Genomic DNA, 25,527 nt, shown 5'->3' with positions numbered 1-25,527 from the left:
TTATTTAACATCTGCTTCTCTTCATTAAATGAACAATAAAACAAACCCTAAAAAAGTAATGGGCTGGTTGAACTTTGGAGGCTCTGTTAAAAAAACAAAAAGCAAAAAGCAAAAGCAGTGGCATCTTTATCCTTTCAAGGCTACTTGTAAAATTTATCTTCAGAGATTCTAGAATATAGCACATAAAATCTAAGCCAGTGGTGTTCAAAGCGGCTTCTGTGGGCTCCTTTTGAGGTCACTGTGGGGTGTTTGGAGGGGGGAGGAACAGGGAATCTGGAAGTGTATGGGATTCCCTGCCTCCTTAATCTGGCTCATTTGTTCCCCAGTATAGCTATAGAACAGCAGCTTTTTCTGATTTAAAAATGTAGGCTTTTGCATAAGGTTTTGAATCCACGTTTTTAAAAAAGGGCTGAGATATTTGAACACTATTGGTCTAAGTAACAATTTGGGGAAGTAAAGTTACATACATGCGGGCTGGGGACAAAAGGAGAACAATTTAGATCCTGGCCTGGTTCACAGTGTGGCTCAGAGAAGTAAACACATCCATTGGGGATACCACCCCTGTTCTCATCTGCTCTACTTCCTTACCCTTGCATTCACCCCCATGCCCTTGACCATTACCTGCAGACCAACGTCTAGCATTTGATTTACTCATTATCTTGATCTTAGCTTTGTCTTTGATCTCATGGAAATTTCTGTATTTTACATTGAGAGACAGGATGTTGCATATCCTACAGAACCTCTGCTTACCCCAGGCAGGTTGATGTAAAAATACTCTGTTATGTTGAACAACCTCAGGCTAACTAGTCAGCATGTGGAGTAAAGAATATGAAATGTTACGTAATTTAACCGATTATTCAATGGTCATGTAGAAAGGTCTTTCATTGCTGCAGCAAATTCATTTTTTCTCTGATGAAGATCAGTATATAGGGAGACTGAAAGTAAGAAATACAAAAATGTTCCAAAGGAGTCTTTCAGGAATTCATTTTGTCAAAGGAAAGCATTAGCTTGATTAAGCTTGAACAGATAGCATTATTAAGCTATATTTTAGTACTCTCCTACCCCACCATTTTGATCCTGTTTTGACTATTCAGATGTGTTCACTTGTCTCTTTCTTTGTGCGTTTCATCGTCTCTTCTCTTTTCCTCATTCTCTCTTGCCTTTTCCTCTTTTCTATTCATTCTTTCCCTCCTTTGACCTTTTCCCTGTTCCTTCTCTCTATTAAATTGTTTATGATTTTCACATGCATTAACTAAGAAATAAATATAATATTTGCTTCAAGCATTATTGGCACAAATAACCTCCATGGAATAAAACTGACAATGTCTTAAATTGCACATCATAAAATTTGTTATAGATTAAAAATTAATTGAAGGATGAGATCTTGACAACACTTGTACCTGAAAAATCTTACCCAGTAGTATTGAATGTGGTGGAAATAATAACCACAAAAGAAAACTCGCAAGGATAGAAAATAATAAAAGTTGAATAGACAAAACCTTATTGATGAATGAAATTATAGTATTACAATAAATTAAAGAAAAAAAGAGCTGGCCTAATTCTGATTAAAGTATATTATAAACATCCTCAGGGTCAAAATTTCCTCAGAAACAAAAATGATGGGGTCAAAATGGTGGAATGGTGGGGTTGAAATGTCCCGTAAAAACTGATTTTTATGTACCAATTTATCTTATAGAACTTTCCATGTCTTTAAATATTCAGCTGTAATATTTTCAATGGCTGTATAGCATTATGCCTTGTGCAAATGAAATAGTTTATTTGACCAGTCTTCTATTATTACATTTCCTACATAATATATCTTATTGTTTCGATTGTTTTACAGTTTTTGCTGTTGTAATTCTGCGAAGAATAAGTGGGTGACAAAATTTTTGTTAGGTAACATTTCTTAAATCTTTCTATTTTTGCATGGGTTTCAGAAATAGATATTATCTGAAAACCTGCTATGAAGAAAAAGAGACTATATTATCTCACTTGAGTTCTGCATTGACTATTTTTAAAATATGGCTTTTGTATTAAATTAAAGCTTTTCTTTAACTTCCATTGCTGCCTGTGAGTGTGACAAAACATGAGACAGTGTCTGATCTTGGCTTTTAAAATAAGCAAACCCCAAATACCTCAACTCAAATAGCTCAAAAACAGCATGAAAAGATTGAAATGTCACAGAGGAGCTGCTAGGATTTAATCAGTGGGAATTTATTTGACTTGTGCTTATTCCAGAGCTATTTATAGTCAAAGGTAAATATAATTTTAGGTCTCCTTTTGAAACCACAAGCGGAACCAAATGTAGTTTCTGCAAGAGGCTAGAAGAAATGGGTTGGGAATAAACTCATTTCATACTCATTGCTTAGCATAGTGAACACAATTCATGAATAGTTGTTAAATGAATGAGTAAATTAATTCATGAAAAATGAATATTAATTTCATACTTTGTGACAAGCAAGATATCTACTAAGTCTCTCATCCAGCACCAAGCACATCAAATTCAGGTATTTAACATGAATTCTCGACAAATAAATAAAGAAAAACACACTTTTCTACCACCTTGAACACGACGGAGCATTTACACTTGATCTTAGCCAAAAGGCCGAGAAACGATATGACTGAGCATTAAAAAATATCTGAGACCAATGTGATCATATTTTAGTATTTGTTAAGTTCATAGCCAATGGTATGGATGGGGGCTTTTGGTGTGTGTAACTGGCGATGGATGGATGCTATGAATGAATGCTATGAGGGAATTAGTGTGCCCTCCAGAAATAACCATAGTGTATAAAGCATCTCTTGTGTGCTGTGTGCTAGGTACTCTCTCATTTTATAAATGAAGAAACAGGCAGAGAATGTTTAAAAAAAAAGGAATAAAAACACTCTCAAGGTTTCAAGACAAAAGGTGTAGCAGGTATAGCTACCCACTTCTGTCTGATCCCCAAACTCATGAATTCCATTATACCTACATCATCTCATACAAGTTTATAATCCAATAAAGCTTCTTAAGATCACTCATAATCCCACTACCCAGAGATAGTTGCTTGTATTTTCTACAATTTTGGGAATCACATCTATTTTCACAGATACAGTATTTGGGAGTAGACTTTTTGTTCTGTATTACAGTTTCCTTTTATTCTTTTTCTTTTAGCAATATATTGGAACATTTCCTCATAGTGTTTTTTTTCTTCGGCATATAATTAAGTAGCCGCTTCCCCAACCCCCATACATGGTAAGTAAATTATAAAGTCTTTGAGGGTAGGGATTTTTAAGAAAAATGCATCTACTATAGTGTTTAGGGTAATGTTGGATATGAAACACTTAATTATTACTATTACTATAGCTGAATTATATAGTATTCATTTTGTGTTGGGCATTGGTCTGATTGCATTATGTGGATTAATTCATTTAGCTTTCAAAAACTATCTATAAGGCAATACTATTATTATTCCATTTTCCACAAGAAGAAAGTGCCCAGTTCACAGTTAGTAAGGGGTGGAGGTGGGTTCTAACCCAGGTGGCCTGGCTCCGGAATACTTGCTCCTAACCACCATGCCCATCCACTGAAAATAGATACACAATGAATACTTGTCAACTCTAGGAAATGGAGAGTAAAGGTAATTATGGGTATGCCTTGACATCGCTCATGTGTAAAAAGCTCACAATTCACCCCCATTGCTCTACTGCCTAAATTCTAGACTTCTCTGCTAAGGCTTTTAAATTTAAAAACAAATTCATCCTTATTTCTCCTAATTTCCCTTTGAACTTTTGGTTTATTGCAATTGAATATGTGAACACAACATATCCATTCCCTTTTTCGCCTTGACTCTATCCAAATTCTATCACCAGTGAAGGCCTAGCTCAGTTCCTACTTTCTTTTTTTTTTTTTTTTTTTTTTGAGTCAGAGTTTCACTGTTGTTGCCCAGGCTGGAGTGCAATGGCGTGATCTCGGCTCACCACAACCTCCACCTCCTGGGTTCAAGTGATTCTCCTGGCTCAGCCTCCCGAGTAGCTGGGATTACAGGCATGTGCCACCATGCCCGGCTAATTTTATAGCTTTTTAGTAGAGATGGAGTTTCTCCATGTTGGTTAGGCTGGTCTTGAACTCCTCACCTCAGGTGATCTGCCTGCCTCAGCCTCCCAAAGTGCTGGGATTACAGGCGTGAGCCACCGCGCCCCTGCTAGTTCCTACATTCTTGATGAAGCACTCCATCTCCTTTAAGCCTTATTGTCTGTTTCTCTTCTCTGAGCCCTTCTGATCTAATATTAGGTGAGGATTTGCTCTTGTCCATATTTATGTTTCTTACTGCCTCCGAAAAAAATGCTTGATTCATGGCAGGCAGGAAACCGGTATTCCTTTGTTGCATGAACAAATGGCCAAATTAATAACTGAGACTTACACTGTTTTACAACTTATTGCATCTGCAGTTGTCCTGTCTCTACAAATATGCTGTAAAGCTTTTGGCAGAGAAGGATTAACTTTCGACCATTTCTTCACTCCTCAAAGTGCCTGAGACTAAGTAAGTCTGTACTGGATTGTTAGCCAATATTTGCAGTTGTGTCCCAGCTAGGAGTTGTAAGTGGTAGAGAAGATACTGACCTTTTTTTCTTTTCTTTTTTTTTTTTGAATGGAGTCTAGCTCTGCCCAGGCTGGAGTACAGTGGCGCAATCTTGGCTCACTGCAACCTTTGCCCCCCGGGTTCCAGAGATACTCCTGCCTCAGCCTCCCAAGTAGCTGGGATTACAGGTGCCTGCCACCACGCCCAGCTAATTTTTGTATTTTTAGTAGAGATGGGGTTTCACTGTGTTGGCCAGGCTGGTCTCGAACTCCTGACCTCAGGATCCGCCCACCTTGGCCTCCCAAAGTGCTGGGATTACAAGCATGAGCTATTGCGCCCGGCCGACCTTTTTTTCTTAAAAAAAAAAAAAAAATATATATATATATATATATATATATATATATATATATATATATATACACACACACACACACACGCACACACACACACACACATATATATAATTTGACCTACTTTTCCTTTTATTAAATGTGCTTAATTTCTTATTTATTTGTATTTTTGATTTACTTGTTAAAATATATATTAAATAATTGATTGATTGATTTATTGATTGATGTTAGAGATGGTCTCCCAGGCTGAAGTGCAGTGGCACTATCATAACTCACTCCCAGAACTTCTTGGTTCAAGTGATTCTCTTGCCTCAGCTGCCTGAGAAGCTGGGATTACAGGTGTGTGCCACCACATCTTGCTAATTAAAAAAAAAAGTTTCTTTTTTTTAGAGGCAGGGTCTCACTATGTTGTCCAGGCTAAACTTGAGCTTCTGGTCTCAATGAATCCCCCTGCTCTGACCTCCCAAAGCTTTGGGATTATAGACATGAGCCACTGTGCCCAGCCCAAGCATTGTTTTAAATGAATCACTATTTTCATGGTTTTAAAGAATAGAAAGGATCTTTGCATAGCATGACAGACAAATCTGGTTGTTGAGATTTTCCCACTTCCCAGTTAGAGTTGATGGTACTACTTATGCATTAAGATTTTTTTGGGCAGAAAACTTAATTATTTAAATTGTTTTAATTGGAATTATTAATGCTTCTTTACTGAGAAATGTAACACACACAAAGACATGCACAAAAAAAATATATATGTAGCTCAATAATTTATCACAAAGAAAACACAGGTATAATCATTACCCAAGAAATAGAGTATTAGCATCATTATAGATGCCTTTTATACCCCTCTGATCACTGGCTCTTCCCTTCCTCTAAAAAATAATGGCTATACAGGCTCTTATGATAATCATGTCTTTGTTTTTCTTTATAGTTTTATCACCAAACATGGATCCTTGTAGTTTAGTTGTGCCTGTTTTTAAACTTCTATAAATGGAATCATTGAGTATGTATTTTTTGGAAACATATTTCTTATGCTTAGCTTACATTTGGGAGATTCATCTACGCTGTTCTATATGGTTATATGTAGTTCATCTATATTCATTGCTGAATAGTATTGCATATTGCATTCTGTGACTATGCCTCAAATTATTTACCCATTTTACTGTTGATAGAATTTATAGTTGTTTTTATTTTTTGATCTCAGGAATAATGTTACCACAGATTTATTGTACGAATTTTTGATGCACATATGCATCCATTTCTATTCGTTATGTGTAAGAATGAAATTCCTAGTTCAGAGAGTAACATATAGTAACATATTGTCAGCTTTATTAGATAATGCTAGGCTGCTTTCCAAAGTGGTTATACTATGTCAATTTACATTTCTACCAGCAATGCGTACATCCACATTATTGACAGCATTTTGTACTGTCAATCTTTAAAATTTTTCTCACTCTGGTAGGTATGTTGTGTTATCTTATTGTGACTTTAAATTGCAGTTTCACAATTATTAATATGGTTGAGAAACTTATGTTTACGATAATTTGCATATCTTCTCTAGTATAATTTCTGTTTAACTATTTTGCCCATTCTCTTGGACTTCTTGTTTTTTTCTTATTATTTGTAGAAATAATAATTTCTGGAAATATGCTCTTTGTCAAATATGTTTTACAAAAATCTCCTACGCTGGCTTACTTTTTTGCTCTATTAATTAGTATACCTTTTGATGAGCAGAAGTTACTAATTTTAATTTAGTCTAATTTATCAATTTTTTCTTTATGAATAGTGCCTATTGTGTCTTCTATTCAAGTATTTTTTCCTTATCTTGAGGTAATAAATGTATTATTTTATATTACCTTCTAATAATCTTTATCATTTGATTTTTATACTTATATCTATAACCCACCTATAATTTGTTTTTATGCATAGTGAAAGGAACAAGGTTTCATTTTTTTCATATGGATATCTAATTGGCACGACACTATTTGATGAACAGATCATCTTTTCTCCTGTTATTCTGCAGTGCCACTATTGTCCATGAATGCATGGATCTCTTTCTGGGCTCTTTATTCTGTTTCATTGGTCAATATCTGTTTACCAACACAACCCTGCATTACTTGCTATTGCTTTATAATGTCTTGATATCTAGCAGAGTCTTGTCTTCTTTGAGTTTCTTAGCTTTTCTTGGTCTTTTGAATTGCCATATATATTGTAGGATGAGCTGTCATTTTCAGCAAAGAACCTGATGAAATTTTGATTGGGATTTTACTGACTATATAGATTAATTTGGGGAACATTAATAAATTTATAACATTGAGTTTCTCAATCCATGAACATGATTTCTCCTTTCATTTATATAGATCTCCTGTATGTTAATTTCTGTGGAGAGATTTTTTAGATATTTTGTTAGATTTACAACTTTATTTTGAAGTTAAACAGTGTTAATTAAATGGAATCTTAAATTTTTATTTATTTTTAATTGACACATAATTGTACATATTTATGGGGTACAGTGTGATGTTTTAATACATGTATACATTGTGTGGTGATCAAATCAGGGTATTTAGCATAGTCATAACCTCAAACATTTATTTTTTTTTGTGGTGAGAACATTCAAAATCTTCTCTTTTAGTTCCTTTGAAATACACAATACAATACTGTTAGCTATAGCCACCCTACAGTGCAACACAACACCGGGATTTATTATTCCTATCTAACTGTAACTTTGTACCCATTGACCAACCTCTTTCCATCCCCCTCTCTCCCACCCTCCCCGCCCTCTGGTCACCACTAATCTACTCTGTGCTTCTTTGATATGAGCTTTTTTAGAGAAATGAGTGAGATCATGTGGTGTTTGTCTTTCTGTGCTTGGCTTATTTCACTTAACATAATGTCCTCCAGGTTCACCCATGCTGCTGCAAATGATAGGATTTCACTGTTTTAAATGGATGTCCAGTATTCTTTTGTGTTTCTATACCACATTTTCTTTACCCATTCTTCATCGATGGACACGTAGGTTGATTCTGTTTTGTGGTTATTGTGAATAGTGCTGCAAAAAGACATGGGAGTGAAGACGTCTCTTTAACATTTATTTTATAACATTTATCTTATAACATTTATTATAACATTTATTTCCTTTGGAAAAATACCCAGGAGTGGAATTGCCAGATCATATGGTATTTCTATTTTTAAGTTTTTGAGGAAATTTCATACTGTTTTCCATAATGCTGTAACAAATTACATAATCACTAACAATGTATAATGGTTTCCTTTTATCCACATCCATACCAGCATTTGTTATTTTTTGTCCTTTTGATATTAGCTATTTTAGTTAGAGTGAGCTGTTATCTCATTGTGGTTTTGATTTGCATTTCCCTGGTAATTAATGTTGTTGAACATTTTTTCATGTGCTTTTCCTTTTCTGTGTCTTCTTTTGAGAAATGTCTATTCAAATGCTTTGCCCATTTTTAAATTTGATTGTTTGCTTTTTTTGCTACTGAGTTGTTTGAGTTCCATGTATATTCTGGAAATTAACCCGTTGTCAGATGCATGGCTTGCATATACTTTCCCTTTTCTGTAGGTTGTTTCTTCACTCTGTTGATTATTTCTTTTGCTGTGCAGCTTTTTAGTGAGGTGTAATCCCATCTATCTGTTTTTATTTTTGTTGCCTGTGCTTTTGAGTTCTTACTTTAAAAATTCTCATCTAAACCAATGTCATAAAATGTTTCCCCTATGCTTTGTTCTGGTAGTTTTCTAGGGTTAGCTATCACATTTAAGTCTTTAATCCATTTTGAGTTTGATTTTGGTGTATGGTGAGAGACAGGTGTCTAGTTTCATTCTTCTGCATATGGTTATCCAATTTCTTCAGCATTATTTATTGAAGAGACTGTCCTTTCCCCATTACATGTTCTTGGTACCTTTGATGAAAAAGAGTTGGTTGTAAATGTGTTGATTTATATAAGTGTTCGCTATTCTGTTCCTTTGGTCTATGTGCCTGTTTTCATACCAGTATTATGCTGTCTTGGTTACTACAGCTTTGCAGTATATTTTGAAGTCAAATAGCATGATACTTCCAGCTTTGTTCCTTTTGCTTAAGGTTGCTTTTACTATTTAAGATCTTTCGTGGTTCCATTTAAGTTTTGGGATGGTTTCTGTTTTTGTGAAGATTGTCAGCATTAGCATAGGGATTGCATTGAGTCTGTACATCATTTTGGGTAGTATGGACGTTTTAACAACATTAATCCTTCCAATCCATGAACATAGAATATCTTTCCATTTGTTTCTATCCTCTCCAATTTCTTTCATCAATGTTATAGTTATCACTGTAGAGGTTTTTTTTTTCCTCCTGGTTAAACTATTCCTAGGCATTTTTTTCATCTACTATAATTATTGTAATTGCTTTCTTGATTTCTTTTTCAAATAGTTCATTATTGATGTACAGAAATGCTACTAATTTTTATATGTTGATTTTGTATCCTGCAAATTTACTGAATTTGTTAGTTCTAGCTGTTCTAAGAGTTGTAATTTATTTTAACTATTGTTGGTGTGTAGCAATGCATTGAACTGTTGTATTTTGACTTTGTACTCAGTAACGATTCTAATCTTACCTATTAATTTTAATAATTTAACCATAGATTCTTCAGGATTTTCTATTTCCTTAATTGTATTGCCTGAGAATAATGACAGCTACATTTCTTCCCTTTTCTTTAAGTTTTACTAATTTTTATTGGCTAGAAAATTTAATTCAATGTTGATAAAAGTAACGACAAGAGGCATCATTGTCTTATCTTACACCTAGTCTCAAAGGGAAAGTTTTAATTATTGCACCATTAAGTGGAAATTCTTGAATTTTGGGGTTGGTGTTTTCAGCCATTATCCTCCAAATACTGCTTCCATCCCAAGTGTCTTTTTTTGTTTGTTTGTTTTTTTGAGACAGTCTCACTCTGTTGCCCAGGCTGGAGTGTGGTGGCACAATCTCAGCTCACTGCAACCTCCGCCTCCTGGGTTCAAGCAATTCTCCTGCCTCAGCCTCCTGAGTAGCTGGGATTACAGACATGCGCCATCATGCCCAGCTAAGTTTTGTATTTTTAATAGAGATGGGGTTTCACCAGGTTGGCTAGGCTGGTCTCAAACTCCCAACTTCAAGTGATCCACCTGCCTCGGCTACCCAAAGTGCTGGGATCCAACTGTTTTTTATCTCTTTCATGAATCTTATTATGTATGTTAGAATTTCTCACTGCATCAGATCTGTCTTTCCGTACTTCTATATCTTGTTGTATTCTGACTATTTCTTTTGATCTAACCCTCAGTTTATTAATTTTCTCTTCACCTCATCTAATCTGTTATTAAACTCAACCATTGCATTCTTAAGTTCAATTGTTGTATTTTCAATTGAGTTTTTAGAGCTTCTACGCGGCCCTTTGTTAATAGTTTCAAGTTTTCTCCCAAAATTCTCAAACTTGGGTTTTTATCTCCTCTAATATAGTAAATATTGTTATTTTTTAAAAAAACTCTGCATGTGATAAGTCTAATATCTTAAAGTCACTGTTACTTGAATTCTATTCTCTATGATTTTAAACTTTTTTTTTCTTTTTTGAGACAGAGTCTTGCTCTGTCGCCCAGGATGGAGTGCAGTGGTGTGATCTCAGCTCACTGCAAGCTCCGCCTCCCGGGTTCACGCCATTCTCCTGCCTCAGCCTTCTGTAAACTGTATTTAATTTGTTATTTTATATTGTCTTGTACCTGGTCATATTTTGTTTTATTTAGGACGTTGTACACAATTGTTTGTAGAAATAATTGGAGGCCTAATATGATATTACCTTATTTCAAAGATAATTAATATTTGCTTCTGCCAGGCTTCTGAATATGCTTGCCATCTGGAGATGATGCTAAAGGGAGTTGTAATCCTTAAAAGGCCTGTCGATTTCTGGCTCATCCTTAAGGTGTCATCTTTTGGGGTCCTGATAGAAAGCAATGAAGGTTCACCTGGTTTCTTCTCCTTGGTGGACTCTGGTCCCAGACTTTGTCCTTCTTGCTCTGGCAGATTGTCAAAATCATCCCAGCTCAGTTGCTCAGCTTCACATCCACTTTCTCCAGAATTGGCACAAATCTCCAGAAGAAGTGTAGCCCTGAATGCAACGTTATTCTTTCTGGATTTCTGCCTTTTCCTGGATCTTGGTCCTTCTTCACTACCGTGTTTATTCTTCATTGTCTTCAAGTAGAACTTTTTATGCCTTAGAACTTGTCCTCATTACACTATTACTAGAATAAAAATTTCCCTGTGTTCCTGACTTCTGACTTTTGATTTCTTACTCTCCATTCTCTATACTTTTTGAAGGAGTGACAGTTTTCAAAACTTATTCATACTGCTACTTTTTACACTTGATCTTAGCCAAAAGGCCGAGAAGTGATTCATATTGCTACTTTTTAAAAAGCACTACAAAGTAAGTTGCTTGGATATTTGAAATCCTAGCTACTTAAAGTCAACAAAATGATCAGTGTTTGTTGAAGAGATGAACTGGACATGTTTATGCGTACAAACATACAGCTAGAAAAGCCTAGTGTTGAAGATACATTATTGAAAAATACTGTCACATTTGACTTTCCTGTACCATGAAAAAATTTAATTTCTTTTAATTTCAAAATAGTTATATTAATGTTGATTTTGTTAATTTTTTGGGGGGGGGGGGTACAGAGTCTCGCTCTGTCACCAGGCTGGAGTGCAGTGGCACGATCTTGGCTCACTGCAACCTCTGCCTCCTGGGTTCAAGCGATTCTCCTCCCTCAGCCTCCCGAGTAGCTGGGACTACAGGTGCATGCCACCACAGCCAGCTAATTTTTGTACTTTTAGTAGAGACGGGGTTTCACCATGTGGGCCAGAATGGTCTTGATCTCTTGACCTCGTGATCCGCCCGCTTTGGCCTCCCAAAGTGCTGGGATTACAGGCGTGAGCCACCATGCCTGGCCGACTTTGTTAATTTTAAAAAGGTTATACTATTGTTAGATTGGTACTCCTTAGTAACCTTAAAATAACAGACCATAGCATATTACTGGAATAAAAAGAGCAAACTGATAAAGGGACAAGTTTGGGCTTCATACCTCTTTTGGATTTTTGAAAATAACAGCTGGTGGAGAAAAAAATTTATAAAAATTTTTAACAGTTCTCTTTTAAGATTTTTATCAGAAATAACTATAGACAGGATTTATGCCAAATAGAAAGATATCCTACTAATTGACAGACACATTAAAATTAAAAATAAAAACTAAATAGTGAATATAATTGACTGATTGTCCTCCTAGGACTAGTAATGCATTTTTGTTTTAGTTATAATCAATAGATATGGATGAGGCTCTACCAAATGCCATTCACAGTACAGCAGCCTGAGTACCTTTTAAAACAATGTAATTCAAATCAGTTCTACAATGACTGCCAACTGCATTTAGAAACAAATACCCAATCATCCAATCATTTCGTGACTCTCAAGAACCTACATAACCCATATAATTCAACCCCACTCTCCCTCTTCCCTCCTTCATTGGATGACAGCCCTTTCCGGCTTTCTTTGTATTCCTTCAATATACCAAGATTGTTCCCATTGCACATTTTTGCATTTGTTGATCCATTTGCCTGGAAGTTCTTGTCCCCAGTTTTTCTCTTGACTGACCTTATTTTTGTCATTCAGGTTACAACTTAAGCTACTCAATGAGACCTTATCTCACAAACAGTCTAAATTAACTTCCCCTCATCTCTGCTGCCCCTTGTTCAATCCCATTACATCAACTTATTTAATTTTCTTCATAGCATGGATCTTTATCTGAAATTATGCTATTTATTTGTTTACTTGACTGTACTCTTTCCTCTTTTAGTAAATAGGGATCTATTTTCCAGTGCCTAGTACAGTGCCTGTTACATAGTAGGTCTTGAAAATAATGGTTGATGAACTCTCAAACATGATATCTAAAAGGTTGTGGCAAACTGTATTGCTTAATTTAATATTCTATTGCCTAGATCAGCAAATTTAATGTTAGAGAAAATTCATTGGAGTGAGATTCCCCACAGAGAGATAATTCTGGCCTATAAGGTATTAAATATCTAACTTTAAATGAGGACCAATCTTTGCAACTTGCTTGGAAAAAAATATGAACACAGACACACACACACACACACAAAATTCATATGGAAAATGAGATCATTCATATTCTCTTAAGAAGAAATATTGAGGTAATTCTTTCATAAAAATAGTATCTGAACAGCATTTACCCTCTGTCAAGCACTCAGTATATACATAGATATATATATATACATTTTTTGTTTTTTTGAGATGGAGTGTTGCTCTTGCTGCCCAGGCTGGAGTGCAATGGCACTATCTCAACTCACCGTAACCTCCACCTCCTGGGTTCAAGCAATTCTCCTGCCTCAGCCTCCCAAGTAGCTGGGATTACAGGCATGCACCACCACGCCCAGCTAATTTTGTATTTTTAATAGAGATGGAGTTTCTCCATGTTGGTCAGGCTGGTCTTGAACTCCCGACCTCAGGTGATCCGCCCGCCTCGGCCTCCCAAAGTTTACACGATTACAGGCATGAGCCACCATGCCCGGCCGCACTCAGTATATATTTTAATTAATTTTAAGTAACAACCTTTCTATTTAAATAGGCAAAATACATCCCCTAATTCTTGCCCTCAAATGGCGTACACACATAAACATACTTTTTCAGGATTGGGATGACGGAGAAGAAAAATACTAATACTAAGACTGTAATGAACTTTCCAGTTACCATGGCTACCTTTAATTAAAGTCTATATATGGGAGCCCCTACTCTAGCTAAAAATGTGTAATGATGCTCATCTTGCATAGTATTGGTATTAATAATTAAATCCATTTATGATTTCAGTATTGCAATACAAATCTACCACTGTCTATCTAGTGAGCTGTAGTCTTCACTGTTGTAGGCAAAATTCTAAGACGGCCTCCAAGATTCCTGCCCCTTGGGGTATTTATCTTGTATAACCCTCTACTCTTGCTTATGGGCAGGACTGTGAATATGATGGATTTCACTCTGTGATTAGGTTACGTTATATAGGAAAGGTGAAGAGTTTTTGCAAATGGAATATAGGTCCCATATTAATTGGTTAAGTTGCTTAAAGAAAGGAGATTATTCTGGGTCAGCCTGACAGAATCAGATGGACAGCTCAGCTCTGCATGGAGGAGCCCATGACATGCACATGGCCCAGTTTTGCACCAAACATTTCAGGGACATGGCTAGTACACACATTTCATCATTTTAATTTCACTATAGGTACATGCTATTAGTGAAGTAAATCCTTCCAGAAAAATAAAGAACTTTTTTTTTTTCCCCAAGACAGAGTCTCACTCTGTTGCCCAGGCTGGAGTGCAGTGGCACAATCTCAGCTCACTGCAACCTTCACGTCTTAGGTTCCACTGATTGTACCTCAGTCTCCCAAGTAGCTGGGATTACAGGCACATGCCAGTATGCCCAGCTAATTTTTGTATTTCTAGTACAGAAGTGGCTTTACCCTGTTGGCCAGGCTGGTCTCAAACGTCCTGCAGAGATCCACCCACCTCAGCCTCCCAAAGTGCTGGGATTACAGGCATGAGCCACCACACCCAGCTGAACTTTTTGTAATTTAATAATTCCTTGCTAATTTTGCTCTTCTTCATTATATTTTTGAATGTAATATTACTTCCAAACAGTTCCTTCAGTTCTTTGTATCAGTCATAATCTGTCAGTGTCCTTCACACACAGCAAAGCCTTAATAAACCTTATGTGACAAGAACAATATGACATGGCTTCACAGACCCAGTGCCTGCAAAATTGTACAGTAGGCCACAATTAATTATGCTGAAGATAATTGTGAATATTTTTGGACTGGTAAATGTTTGGAAAGGCAAGATTCTTGAAACTGTCAAGCTGATATATTCACATATTTGTGCAAGAGACAGCAGGAGGCGGATACAGTGCTAGCCATTAGGATGTGTTATGTTTAAAAGGAACATTAATTCTATTGTTTTTGGTTTAAAAGCAAACTATATCCACATTGCATGCTGCGATTCCATCCAATGCTCCACAACACCCGCTTTCATTAAGTACTTTATTAACTTCTATTCATCCCTTTCTCAAGCCATGGGCTCACTCCACAGCCTTCTCCCAGTTGTTCCTTTCTTTAAGAAGGGGCTCATTTCCCTTCGTTATGAGTGTTTTCTTTGTTGGTTCCTAATTATTTTACTGCATTAGTCTAAGCTGTTAGCAAAGTAGCTCTAAGAACAGACTTAATGAGAGTGACAGATTTTGACTTTCATATAAAATTATAAACCTGTGTCCATGGAAACAGAAGGAAAAGCAAAACCTGAGATTCCCTTCCTTTTTATCTCGCTGTGTGGCACAATGAAAAATAACCACAGTGACAACAGCAGAATTACTTGTTGCAGCAAATCCAATATTACAAGTGTTGGGAAGGCACAGTCCTACGACCTATGGATTTTTGTCGAATACTAGAGGGGCAAATTCAAACATGTTTCAGATACTATAAATCTCAGTATGTGATTCTAATCTATTATAACCTGAAAGCATTAGAATGTTAGATTGTAATAAATATTTGTTTGGATACAATTACTATACCATCACCTTGGGTTAAGGCTTTAACATACGAATTTTGCAGAGGACACAAACATTCAGTCCGTAACAACTTTCTGGTTTATTTTTTTGTATACAGTTGTAATGGCCATGAAAATTTGCCATTGACATTCTCAAGCGAACTGCTGTGGGGAGCAGAGCTGACCGAGAGTCTCAGCCACCCTTCCTTAGAATTCAGACTTTTGATGGCTGTCCCCAGCCAATAGCTGCATATTGGTGGGATCTGAGGCTTTACAACAAATTTTGGCCCAGCAACTCCTTGTCCATCTGGCTGAAAGTTTCATAGCACTGCCCTGCAGACTGAGACACTTCCTCTCCAATTCTCTTTTTTGTCCCCTTCTTTCCACAGCAGTCACACATACATCTTACACTTGGGCCTCTCCCTGGCTACTCCTGATCCCTCTTCTTTCTCCTTCTTCAGCATTTCCCCCAGCAGATATCTTGCATATCTAATCACCTGTTTTTTTTTCCTTCGTTACACGGATATGTTGTGTGGTGGTAGCATTTGTGCATCCAGTGTACCCATCATCCAAATAGTGAACATTGTACCCAATGAGTAATTTTTAAGCCCTCACCCCCCTTTTGGAGTCCCCAGTGTCTGTTATATCCCTCAGCATGTCCATAATCACATCTTGAGGACTGCTTCTCAGAGAATCTCAACTGGCACAACTGCCTTTTTCCAAAAAAAAAAAAAAAAAAAAAGTAAAATAATTTACACGGAAGCCAGTAATGTATCAAGCCATTTAAAATAGGCACTGAAAATTAGGAAATGGGAAAATAAAGAATGCAGAATTGAGCCCAAAGAGGGCTGATTAATTTGCAGAATGAATATCATGTATGGGTCACATATCTGGCTCTAAGAATAAAATGTATCTGCCAAAGGAAAGTGAAAACATATGAATAAGATGGTTTCTGTTTTTGCAGTTTAGAATAATAAGTAATAACCTAAGGACCAGAAGATATTGGGAAATGAAAAATCTCTTACCTCCAAAGCAATTTTGACATGTTTTGATTATCTGTGTTAGTGTCTTATAGGAGTGGTATGGATATAGTCAGCTCATAATAATTTTTAAAAAATCAATTTCATTTTGCTTTGGGTACAATATGTATAACCTATATTGTATTAATACGTAATATATTTTATAGCAAATTTTCCTTTAAAATATTTTTCTTAGGTTAATATTATTATAACATTAGTTGGTTTATACCCTAAATTTTAGGGTGGATAACAGTAATAGAAAGAGATTCATTCTGGAATTAAAATATGGATCATTAACAGTATAAGCCTTTATATATATATATATATATATATATATATATATATATATTTATTTATTTATTTATTTTTTTTAAGATGGAGTCTCGCTCTGTCACCAGGTTGGAGTACAGTGGCACCATCTCAGCTCACTGCAACCTCTGCCTCCCAGGTTCAAGCAATTCTTCTGCCTCAGTCTCCTGAGTAGCTGGAACTACAGGCACATGCTGCCACACCCGGCTAATTTTTTTTTTTTTTTGTATTTTAGTAGAGACGGGGTTTCACCATGTTGCCAGGCTGGTCTCGAACTCCTGAGCTCAGGCAATCCACCCGCCTTGGCCTCCCAAAGTGCTAGGATTGCCGGCGTGAGCCACTGCGCCCTGGCTGCTTTATAATATTAATTAATCAGAAGTATATTGCCAGGTGCAGTGGGTCATGCCTGTAATCTCAGCACTTTGGGAAGCTGAGACGGGTGGATTACTTGAAGTCAGGAGTTTGAGATCAGCCTGGCCAACAAGCTGAAACCCCATTCCTACTAAAAATACAAAAATTAGCTGGGTGTGGTGGCGGGCGCCAGTAATTCCAGCTACTCAGGCGGCTGAGGCAGGAGAATCGCTTGAACCCGGGAGGTGGAGGTTGCAGTGAGTGGAGATTATGGCACTACACTCCAGCCCTGGCAACAGAGTGAGACTCTCTCAAAAAAGAAAAAAATAAATAAAAGTATGTAGTATGTTGTTTGCTTGCAGGCCCGTTGTGTTCTCATAGTCAAAGTGGTTTGTGTCATCTCAATCCAATCTCAGACTAAAATCTCTATCTGAATAATACTAAAGTACATTCAACAGTCATAAAAATATGTTACACATTTATTTTACTCATATACAATATTATATTCCACTCCGATGACTACCTTTTTATGTCATTTCTTGTGGAAAAGTAACTTTCTGCCAGAAAAGAATCTGGTGTTGGAGTAGACACTAAGTTGAGCCTAAGTCAACTGCAGTTTTATTGAAAAAGGCCAAACATGACACAGGGATATATTACCATTCTTGCAGAACTCTGTATGGATAAAACAGCAGTATAATGCTGATGTACTGCAGAGGCTGATTCATGGTGGTTAAATGCAGAACTCTGCAGTTAATAAATGTTAGCAATCATCATATCACCATCCTAACTGTTTTCTATCAACCATTATCTTTTCTTTTCTTTTCTGTTTCTTTTTCTTTTTTTTTTTTTTTTTTTGAGATGGAGTCTTGCTCTGTCACCCAGGCTGGAGTGCAGTGGCACGATCTTGGCTCACTGCAAGCTCTGCCTCCTGGTCAACCACTATCTTTTAAACCTTTTGTAGGGGAACATAATTCAGGAAGTTTGAGCCAATCACTTTGAGGGAGAAGGCAATCAAATTCAATTTACAGTTATTACTGTTGTCCCTCCAATACTTATTAAATTTAGTAGAGCTTTGATGGCTGCTTTCTTTTTCTTATCTCCATTTAAAAATTATTAGCTCATTATTGTATATAATCTTTACTTTTTAGCACCAAACACTGTTTGAAGTCTGAATTGGGAAGTCTACTGATATTATGTGATGACTTGAATTAGTCAGATTTGGTGCTAGTCAGATCATTTTGATAATAGGTCAAATTCTCAGCTGTACAATTTAGAGAGAATCTAGGAGTAATTCAGGAGAAAAGCAAAGTTCACTAAAGTGTTAATATGGCTTTAAAAATTCAGGGTATAATTTACATACTGTGATGATTAATTTATGTCAACTTCACTGGGTTAAGCAATACCTGGATCACTTGTAAAACATTGTTTCTGAGTGTGTATGTGGGGGTGTTTCTGGAAGAGATGAATATTTGAATGAGTGGACTGAATAAAGCAGATGGCCTTTGCCAATGCAGGTGAGCATCATAAAATCTGTTGAGAGCCTGAAAGCAACAAAATAGTGAAGAAAGGGTGAATTTACTCTCATTTGGAGCTCAAACATCCATCTTCTGTCCTTGGACATTGGAGATCCTGGTTTTCAGGCCTTTGGGCTCTGGGACTTATACCATTCCCCACCCATCGCCTATTGGCTTTCCTGATTCTCCAGCTTGCAAATGGCAGTTTGGGGACTTTTGACCTCCATAATCGTAGGAGCAAATTCCCATAGTAAATCTTAATACGTGTGTGTGTGTGTGTGTGTGTGTGTGTGTGTATGTGTATGTATCCTATGTGAATGATAATATATATGTATATACCTTATTGGTTCTCTTTCTCTGGAGAATCCTGACAAACACACATACATTAATATGAATAGATCTTAAGTTGTATGAATTTTAGAGCATGAACACACTCAGGTAATCAATATCCAGTTTAAGAGATACTGCATTATCAGGAACCCAGAAACCTCCTTCATGCTCTGTCCCAGCCATTAAGTTCTCCCCCAGAAGTTACCAATACTCTTTTTATCATCAGACTATTTTTGTGAGTTTTTGAAGCTATTCTTTCTATAGTGCTCTTTTTTGTAATGGTTTCTCTCATTCAACATTATAGTTGTAGGCCGGGCTTGGTGGCTCACACCTGTAATCCCAGCACTTTGGGAGGCAGAGGCGGGCGGATCATGAGGTCAGGAGATTGAGACCATCCTGGCTAACACGGTGAAACCCCGTCTCTACTAAAAATATAAAAAATTAGCCGGGCGTGGTAGCAGGCACCTGTAGTCCCAGCTACTCAGGAGGCTGAGGCAGGAGAATGGCGTGAACCCGGGAGGCGGAGCTTGCAGTGAGCCGAGATCGTGCCACTGCACTCCAGCCTGGGCAACAGAGCGAGACTCCGTGTCAAACAAAACAAAATAAAACAAAAAACATTATAGTTGTAGTTGTGAGAGTCATCCCTGTGATGTGCAACAGCAATTTCATGTGTAGCAGTAATTTCCCTTATTTTAATTTTTATAGAGTATTCATTATATGATGTATTTATCCCTTCTACTGACAGACAATTGGGCTGTTTCCAGGTTTTGATTATTATGAATAATGCTGCTACAAGCATTCTTCTACATGTTTCTTGTGCATGTATGTGTGCACTTGTGTTGAGTGTCTATATGAGCAGAATTCTGTGTCATGGAGTGTGTGTGTGTGTGTGTGTATATATATATATATATTTGGCTTTAATAGATACAGCTAGAGAAGTTTCCAAAGTAGTTGTACCAACTTGCATGACAACCAGAAGTGTATGGACATTCTGGTTACTCTATATGCTTGTAAACGTTTGATGTTACTTCTTACCCTTTGCTCAGATTCAGCACATACCTTGTTATCATCTAACATATTCATAAAGGCAGATGAAGGAGGCAATCAAATTCAATCTACAGCCATTACAGAGAGTGTGGAGATAGAAAAGATGGAAAATAAATATTAAAAAGTTTAGGAAGAGAAGAAGATAAAAAATGAAGCATAGGAAAGAAGGAAAAGATTGAGTTAAGGAGAGAGTTCTGCATTTTTATCACTCGTGAAGAAGCAAAGTAAAATTCAATCCCTTTGAAAGAAAATTTCTTCCACCTGATTTGAAACTTTGATTTCTTGAGGTATAAAGATGGGATGAAGGGGCAAAGGTAAGTAAAATAAAAACAGTAAGAAAATATAGAAGAAAATTAATAGGGCTTCTCCAAGTAAGACCTAAATGTTATTGGAAGAGTCTATAAAACAAGTAGTAAGTTAGCATTAAGTATTTTGTAGTCTGTGCTCTTGTGTATCTTCATTGTCTGCTACTTCTGTCAAAGGCATATACACAACATCTTCACACAATATTTTTGATATTAAAAAATTGGAGATTTAAAGAGAAAAAAGGAAAGTGAAGTCATATTCCTTCCTGTTCTTTCCTTTGTTTTTTCTTTTTAAACCTCACACATCTTCTCCCTGGGGAGTTGCATGGGGGTGACAGAGTGATTCACCATCTATAAAATATCCCAATGACTTGAGCGAAGTCTCTGATATGAGGTGACATAGTCGCCCCTGAGAAGATAATGCTGTAATGGTGAAGAGGTGATGGTAGATATTTTCTGGGCAAATGACTGTTGTTGATTTGTCCACCTAATCGCTTAGTTTTGAAGAAAGAAAAATCTTCTAGTTTAATGGCTGTATGAAAGGAAATTCCCAAGAGGTTAAAACCCTCCACATATTTAAATCTTTTTGCCTACCTGGGTAATTTCTGTGTAGTAATACTAGCTTCAGTAAAAGCCGCTTGGGAGACAGACACCACTGAACATGGAGGAACTGTGTCTCTTTGGGTTTGCTTGCTAATTCTGCCTCCCCACCTCCCCTCTCCACTAGCCATCTGGAAGAAGGGAACAGGCTTCGAGTTAAATTTGGAGATTTATGAGGCATGGGACGTGTGGTTGCTCTATTCATTTGAATTGAAAATTTGATCCAATTCTGGAGACTTCTCAGTTAGCATCAACCTTCTGGATTGAGCTATAAATCTATAAATGATTTTATAACATTATTTGCTTTGATTATCAGGGCAGAGCCGTGTCTCACACTTAGCAAAAAAGCAACAGAGCAATAACACACAAATTGCTGTTCTTGTCATCTTTCCTTTAAGCTAAGAATACTGAAAAACTTTAAAATAATTCTATGCCTACATTAGCATAAGTTGAACCAGTCCAGTAACCTCGAATCTTTTCCAGCAACTTCCTTGGTGCTGTCCTCATTATGTTAGCAAGACATTTCCTATTCTACTGTCCCAGAGGAGCTGGAGTCAAGGTTTATAGACTGAAAATAAGGGGAAAAGAGAGGCATACTGCCATGAAACAATTAATATATCATTTCAGAGAATGCCAGAACACACAGTTTCTACTGTTACTATGACTTACCAATTTTCTATTAATATATATTTTTATACCTACATGGTAGTGAAGGCTAAAAAACAGTAATGATAGTTTCAGTGGGAGCTGGATTTTCACCAAGGACATTTTTATTTAGCAAAAACAATAATGTTATAAGCTAAGTAGAAATTTCTACTTTTTTTGACTTCCAAGGAGAATTCTGATGGGGCTAGAGTAGTATCATGTATGTGCTTCCCAGATAAAGCATATCCAAGTAATTAAGAAAATGTATCTAATCTATGAAAAATAGATCTACAGGCCAGTGTAGGTTTAAATATTGGCTGGCTAAACAATTTCTTCCTCTTCCTTTTTTAAAGTTAATGTAGACACATGGAATAGGCAGTATACCTACACTCTAGAAGACATGAACTTCTGGACTACCCAACCAGAGTTTGATAGCTAAAAAGGACAGTAGAGATCCTCTAGTTTAATCTTTCCTTTGTACAGATGAAGCAGGATGTGATTATAAAAATTAATTGGGGTGATCAGATTCTATAAGTTTACAAGTGAGTTGAACTATGCAACCAGCGAAAATTGCATGTTGTAAAGTGTGGTTGCAGAAATTTTAATTTCCTGTCTTTTACTATAATAAATTAAGGTTACTTTTCTGAGTGTGATAAATATGAATGCGTGAATGAGAATCAGACCTTCTCATACAACATGTTATTTCACCACAAAATATCATCATATCATCGTGGCCATCTCTCCATCTACTTATTTATTTATTCAATAAATATGTGCTATATGCTAGACAATGTGTTGGTGGTGGTTAAGCCTGCAGAAGAAATAGTATAGATACAGTCTCTGTTCTCATGTGTGACATTTTTGATCAAAGGGGGGACACAGATCCTTATACAGTGTTCCATTGATTCTAAGGCACATATTTTCCCCCTATATTTTAATGTCTCTGACATCAGTATACATCCTAAAATTGAAAGAGTGTTATAGCTTTATTGACACCCCCTTTTTTCTTTTGGTGTGTCATATAGTGGCTTGTTTAACAATTGCTGGCATCTTCAATTCTATGTGATACTGAATATATGCATTATGGCAAATACTACTAAAAAAAGTGTTTTGAGAGAGACTAACAGGGGACCTGCTTTAACTAGTTGGTGTGGAAAGCCCTCTGGACAAGATGATGTGTAAGTTTGAAGAAAGAGAAGGCCCCGGTTGAGTGAAAGAGGTGACAAGAGCATGGTAGAAAGAGAAAATAGATTTTGTGCATGACTGTGTGGGGGACTGTTGGTCTGTCTGAGGAATAAATGGAAGGCCAGTGTTGCTGGACCATAGCGAGCAATAGGGCCTTTCAAGAAGCCCAATTCTTTTAGCTTCTTGCAAACATTTATTCTGGAAAGACCTTTTTCAGATCAGCTGTATTGAATGCATTTTTTTCTGTGTGTGTGTATCAGTCATGTATGATGGAGTAAAAGCCATCATTGGTCTGTCACTGCTTGGGAAAATCAGTCCAAATTTGACCTTTTTATTAAAATGATTTTTAACCTAAGTGTTAGGAATGCATGCAATTATAATTGAGCTGAGATACTTGGCTTTTTTTGGAATTATGTAACAAGGAAATCTTTTCTCCTATTTTGGCTTTATTCTTCTTTGATATCTTGCTATTTTAAACCAAGTACAATAGACCTTTTATAACTGAAACTCTTTAAGGTGAAGATTTATTGAAATTTTATGATTTTAACAGAAAAGTAATTTTGCTTGAAAACATACACATATAAGATAAAGTGTTAACAAAATGTGGTGGTTATGTTGCAGCAGCTGTAATTCACAGAAGCTCAATTGTGATGAGCAATACTCTTCTGTATAAAAATAAAAAGCAAAAAAGTAACAAATACAATGACATATAGATAAATATAAATATTTAAAAAATCCAAAGCTTTGAACATGGTTTGAATTTTTAAGTAGGGATACATATCCCCTGTAGCATGACTTAAAATTATTGGCAAATTGTTAACTGCTAATATCTCACGGATGAATAGCTACATATAGTCAAAGAGGAAAATCCATATTAATGAAGTTTTTTTTTTTTTTTTTTCGAGATGGAGTCTCGCTTTGTTGCCCAGGCTGGAGTGCAATGGAGTGATCTCAGCTCACTGCAACCCCTCTGCCTCCTGGGTTCAAATGATTCTCCTACCTCAGCCTCCCTAGTAGCTGGGACTATAGGCATGCGCCACCATGCCCAGCTAATTTTGTATTTTTAGTAGGGTGGGGTTTCACCAGGTTGGCCAGGCTGGTCTTGAACTCCTGCCTTCAAGTGATCTGCCTGCCTCGGCCTCCCAAAGTGCTAGGATTGCAGGCATGAACAACCATGCCAGGCCTTAATGAAGTTTTTATTGTAAAAAATTTTGTATCCTTCTCTAATATAAATTACATACGTTCTTCCTTTATGTGTAACCTAACAACCATTAGTTTATCTCAGGCACATTTTAATAGATGTCTAAAAACCTAAAGAAAAAATACTTTTTCAATAATCAGATTTAAGGAACATTTCTCAAAAAGAACCACAAAGTATTGTATTACTTATTATATTTTGAAGATTGATTTTGACTTTTTTTATACTACCAACAAGAACAAAATCTCCATTAAAATATGTGTAAAATATTTTTTCACCATCTTATCATTTTTTTCATGATTGTCTTCCAGTCATCTGTTTTGTGTTCCCATTTTACTTTGCTAAAGGTAATTTTATATAGGCTTTTCTGAATGATGCACCCACTTTAAAATCTGGGTGCATATTTGCATGAAAGCATTTACAGAAAATAAAGACAATCCTATGATGGGTAGAAATCACTGAGATCTTTAATAAAAACAGTGCGGTTTCTTAAGAGAGTGATTCGTTGCCAAATTAGAAAGAGATGGGGTTGTATCTAACATGAATGCGTTCTATGCTGAGAGTATTGAGAAGAAATGGTACTCATCAAGTTCTAACAGTGTTTAGAAACTAGAGGTAAGCCCCACTGTTTCCCAGGAAGTGCAGTAGTTTAAATGAAAACTCCTCCATACTGCTGGGACTTAATTCACCACACATGGTGGAGAATGTGAGCTAAAGAACTCAGTGGAATACATTCAGTTCCTCTAAGTGAGAAGTCATCCAACTTAAACAGGAAAGAGCAAAATGTGAATGCTAGAGGATGGAACAAAATTGTTGTAATTTCTAAGGTGAAAATACTTACCTTTGTATTTTCTTTAGATTTTCATATAGAGATGGAAAAAGCAACAAAGGACAACTGAAAAAATTGCACTTAAAGTAAAACAGGGAAAAGTTTAAAAATAGAACTATGACAATTAAATGGAAAAATGATTCCTGAAATTTTATTTTTTATAATTAATGCTTAGTTCAATTAGCAATGATGGGTATGTTTTGCTTAGTGCGCATTAACCACGTAAAACCCTCATGTAACCATAATATTCATCAATCACGACTATGCTGTTAGATTTATAATCAAATTAGCTGTTTAATTAAAAAACATGAGTGTTTTTCATTGGGTGATATTAGCATTCTGAAATGGTGTTAATAGGCCTGGAGAAACAAAACATTTAAAAAAGAGATTCAAATGAGAATAGCAAAAGCTAATAAAGTGTTAAGGTGACAAAAAACTACTCATACAGAATAATCTACTACTATGATGGAGGTTTTATAGATGCAAGATACATATTCACACATATATTTAACATTTTTCCCTTTGGTAGGTAGAAGATGAAGTAGAATACCAACATAAGAGCAATATGACTGGTTTCCAGTCTTTGATCTGCCACTAGTTTGTGACCATAGGAAAACCATCTTAACTTTTTTTCTGAACCTCTGTTGTTTTCATTTAAAAGAATGGAG

At 36.2% G+C, this 25,527-nt stretch overlaps 1 annotated feature.

Annotated features, from left to right (window-relative positions):
* Window positions 3,890–4,092: a silencer, noted in NCBI's record as "fragment chr12:89697498-89697700 (GRCh37/hg19 assembly coordinates)". NCBI's record gives its function as "represses an EF-1alpha promoter that drives an FKBP-Casp9 reporter gene in an ReSE screen in phorbol 12-myristate 13-acetate-treated (for megakaryocytic differentiation) K562 erythroleukemia cells {active_cell/tissue: K562(+PMA)}" and the evidence as "EXISTENCE:reporter gene assay evidence [ECO:0000049][PMID:32094911]".

The sequence above is a fragment of the Homo sapiens genome, chromosome 12 (genome assembly GCF_000001405.40).
Source record: "Homo sapiens chromosome 12, GRCh38.p14 Primary Assembly".
NCBI classification, from domain to species: Eukaryota; Metazoa; Chordata; class Mammalia; order Primates; family Hominidae; genus Homo; species Homo sapiens.
Note: the sequence above shows the minus strand (reverse complement) of the source record. Positions and strands in the feature narration are given on the sequence as shown.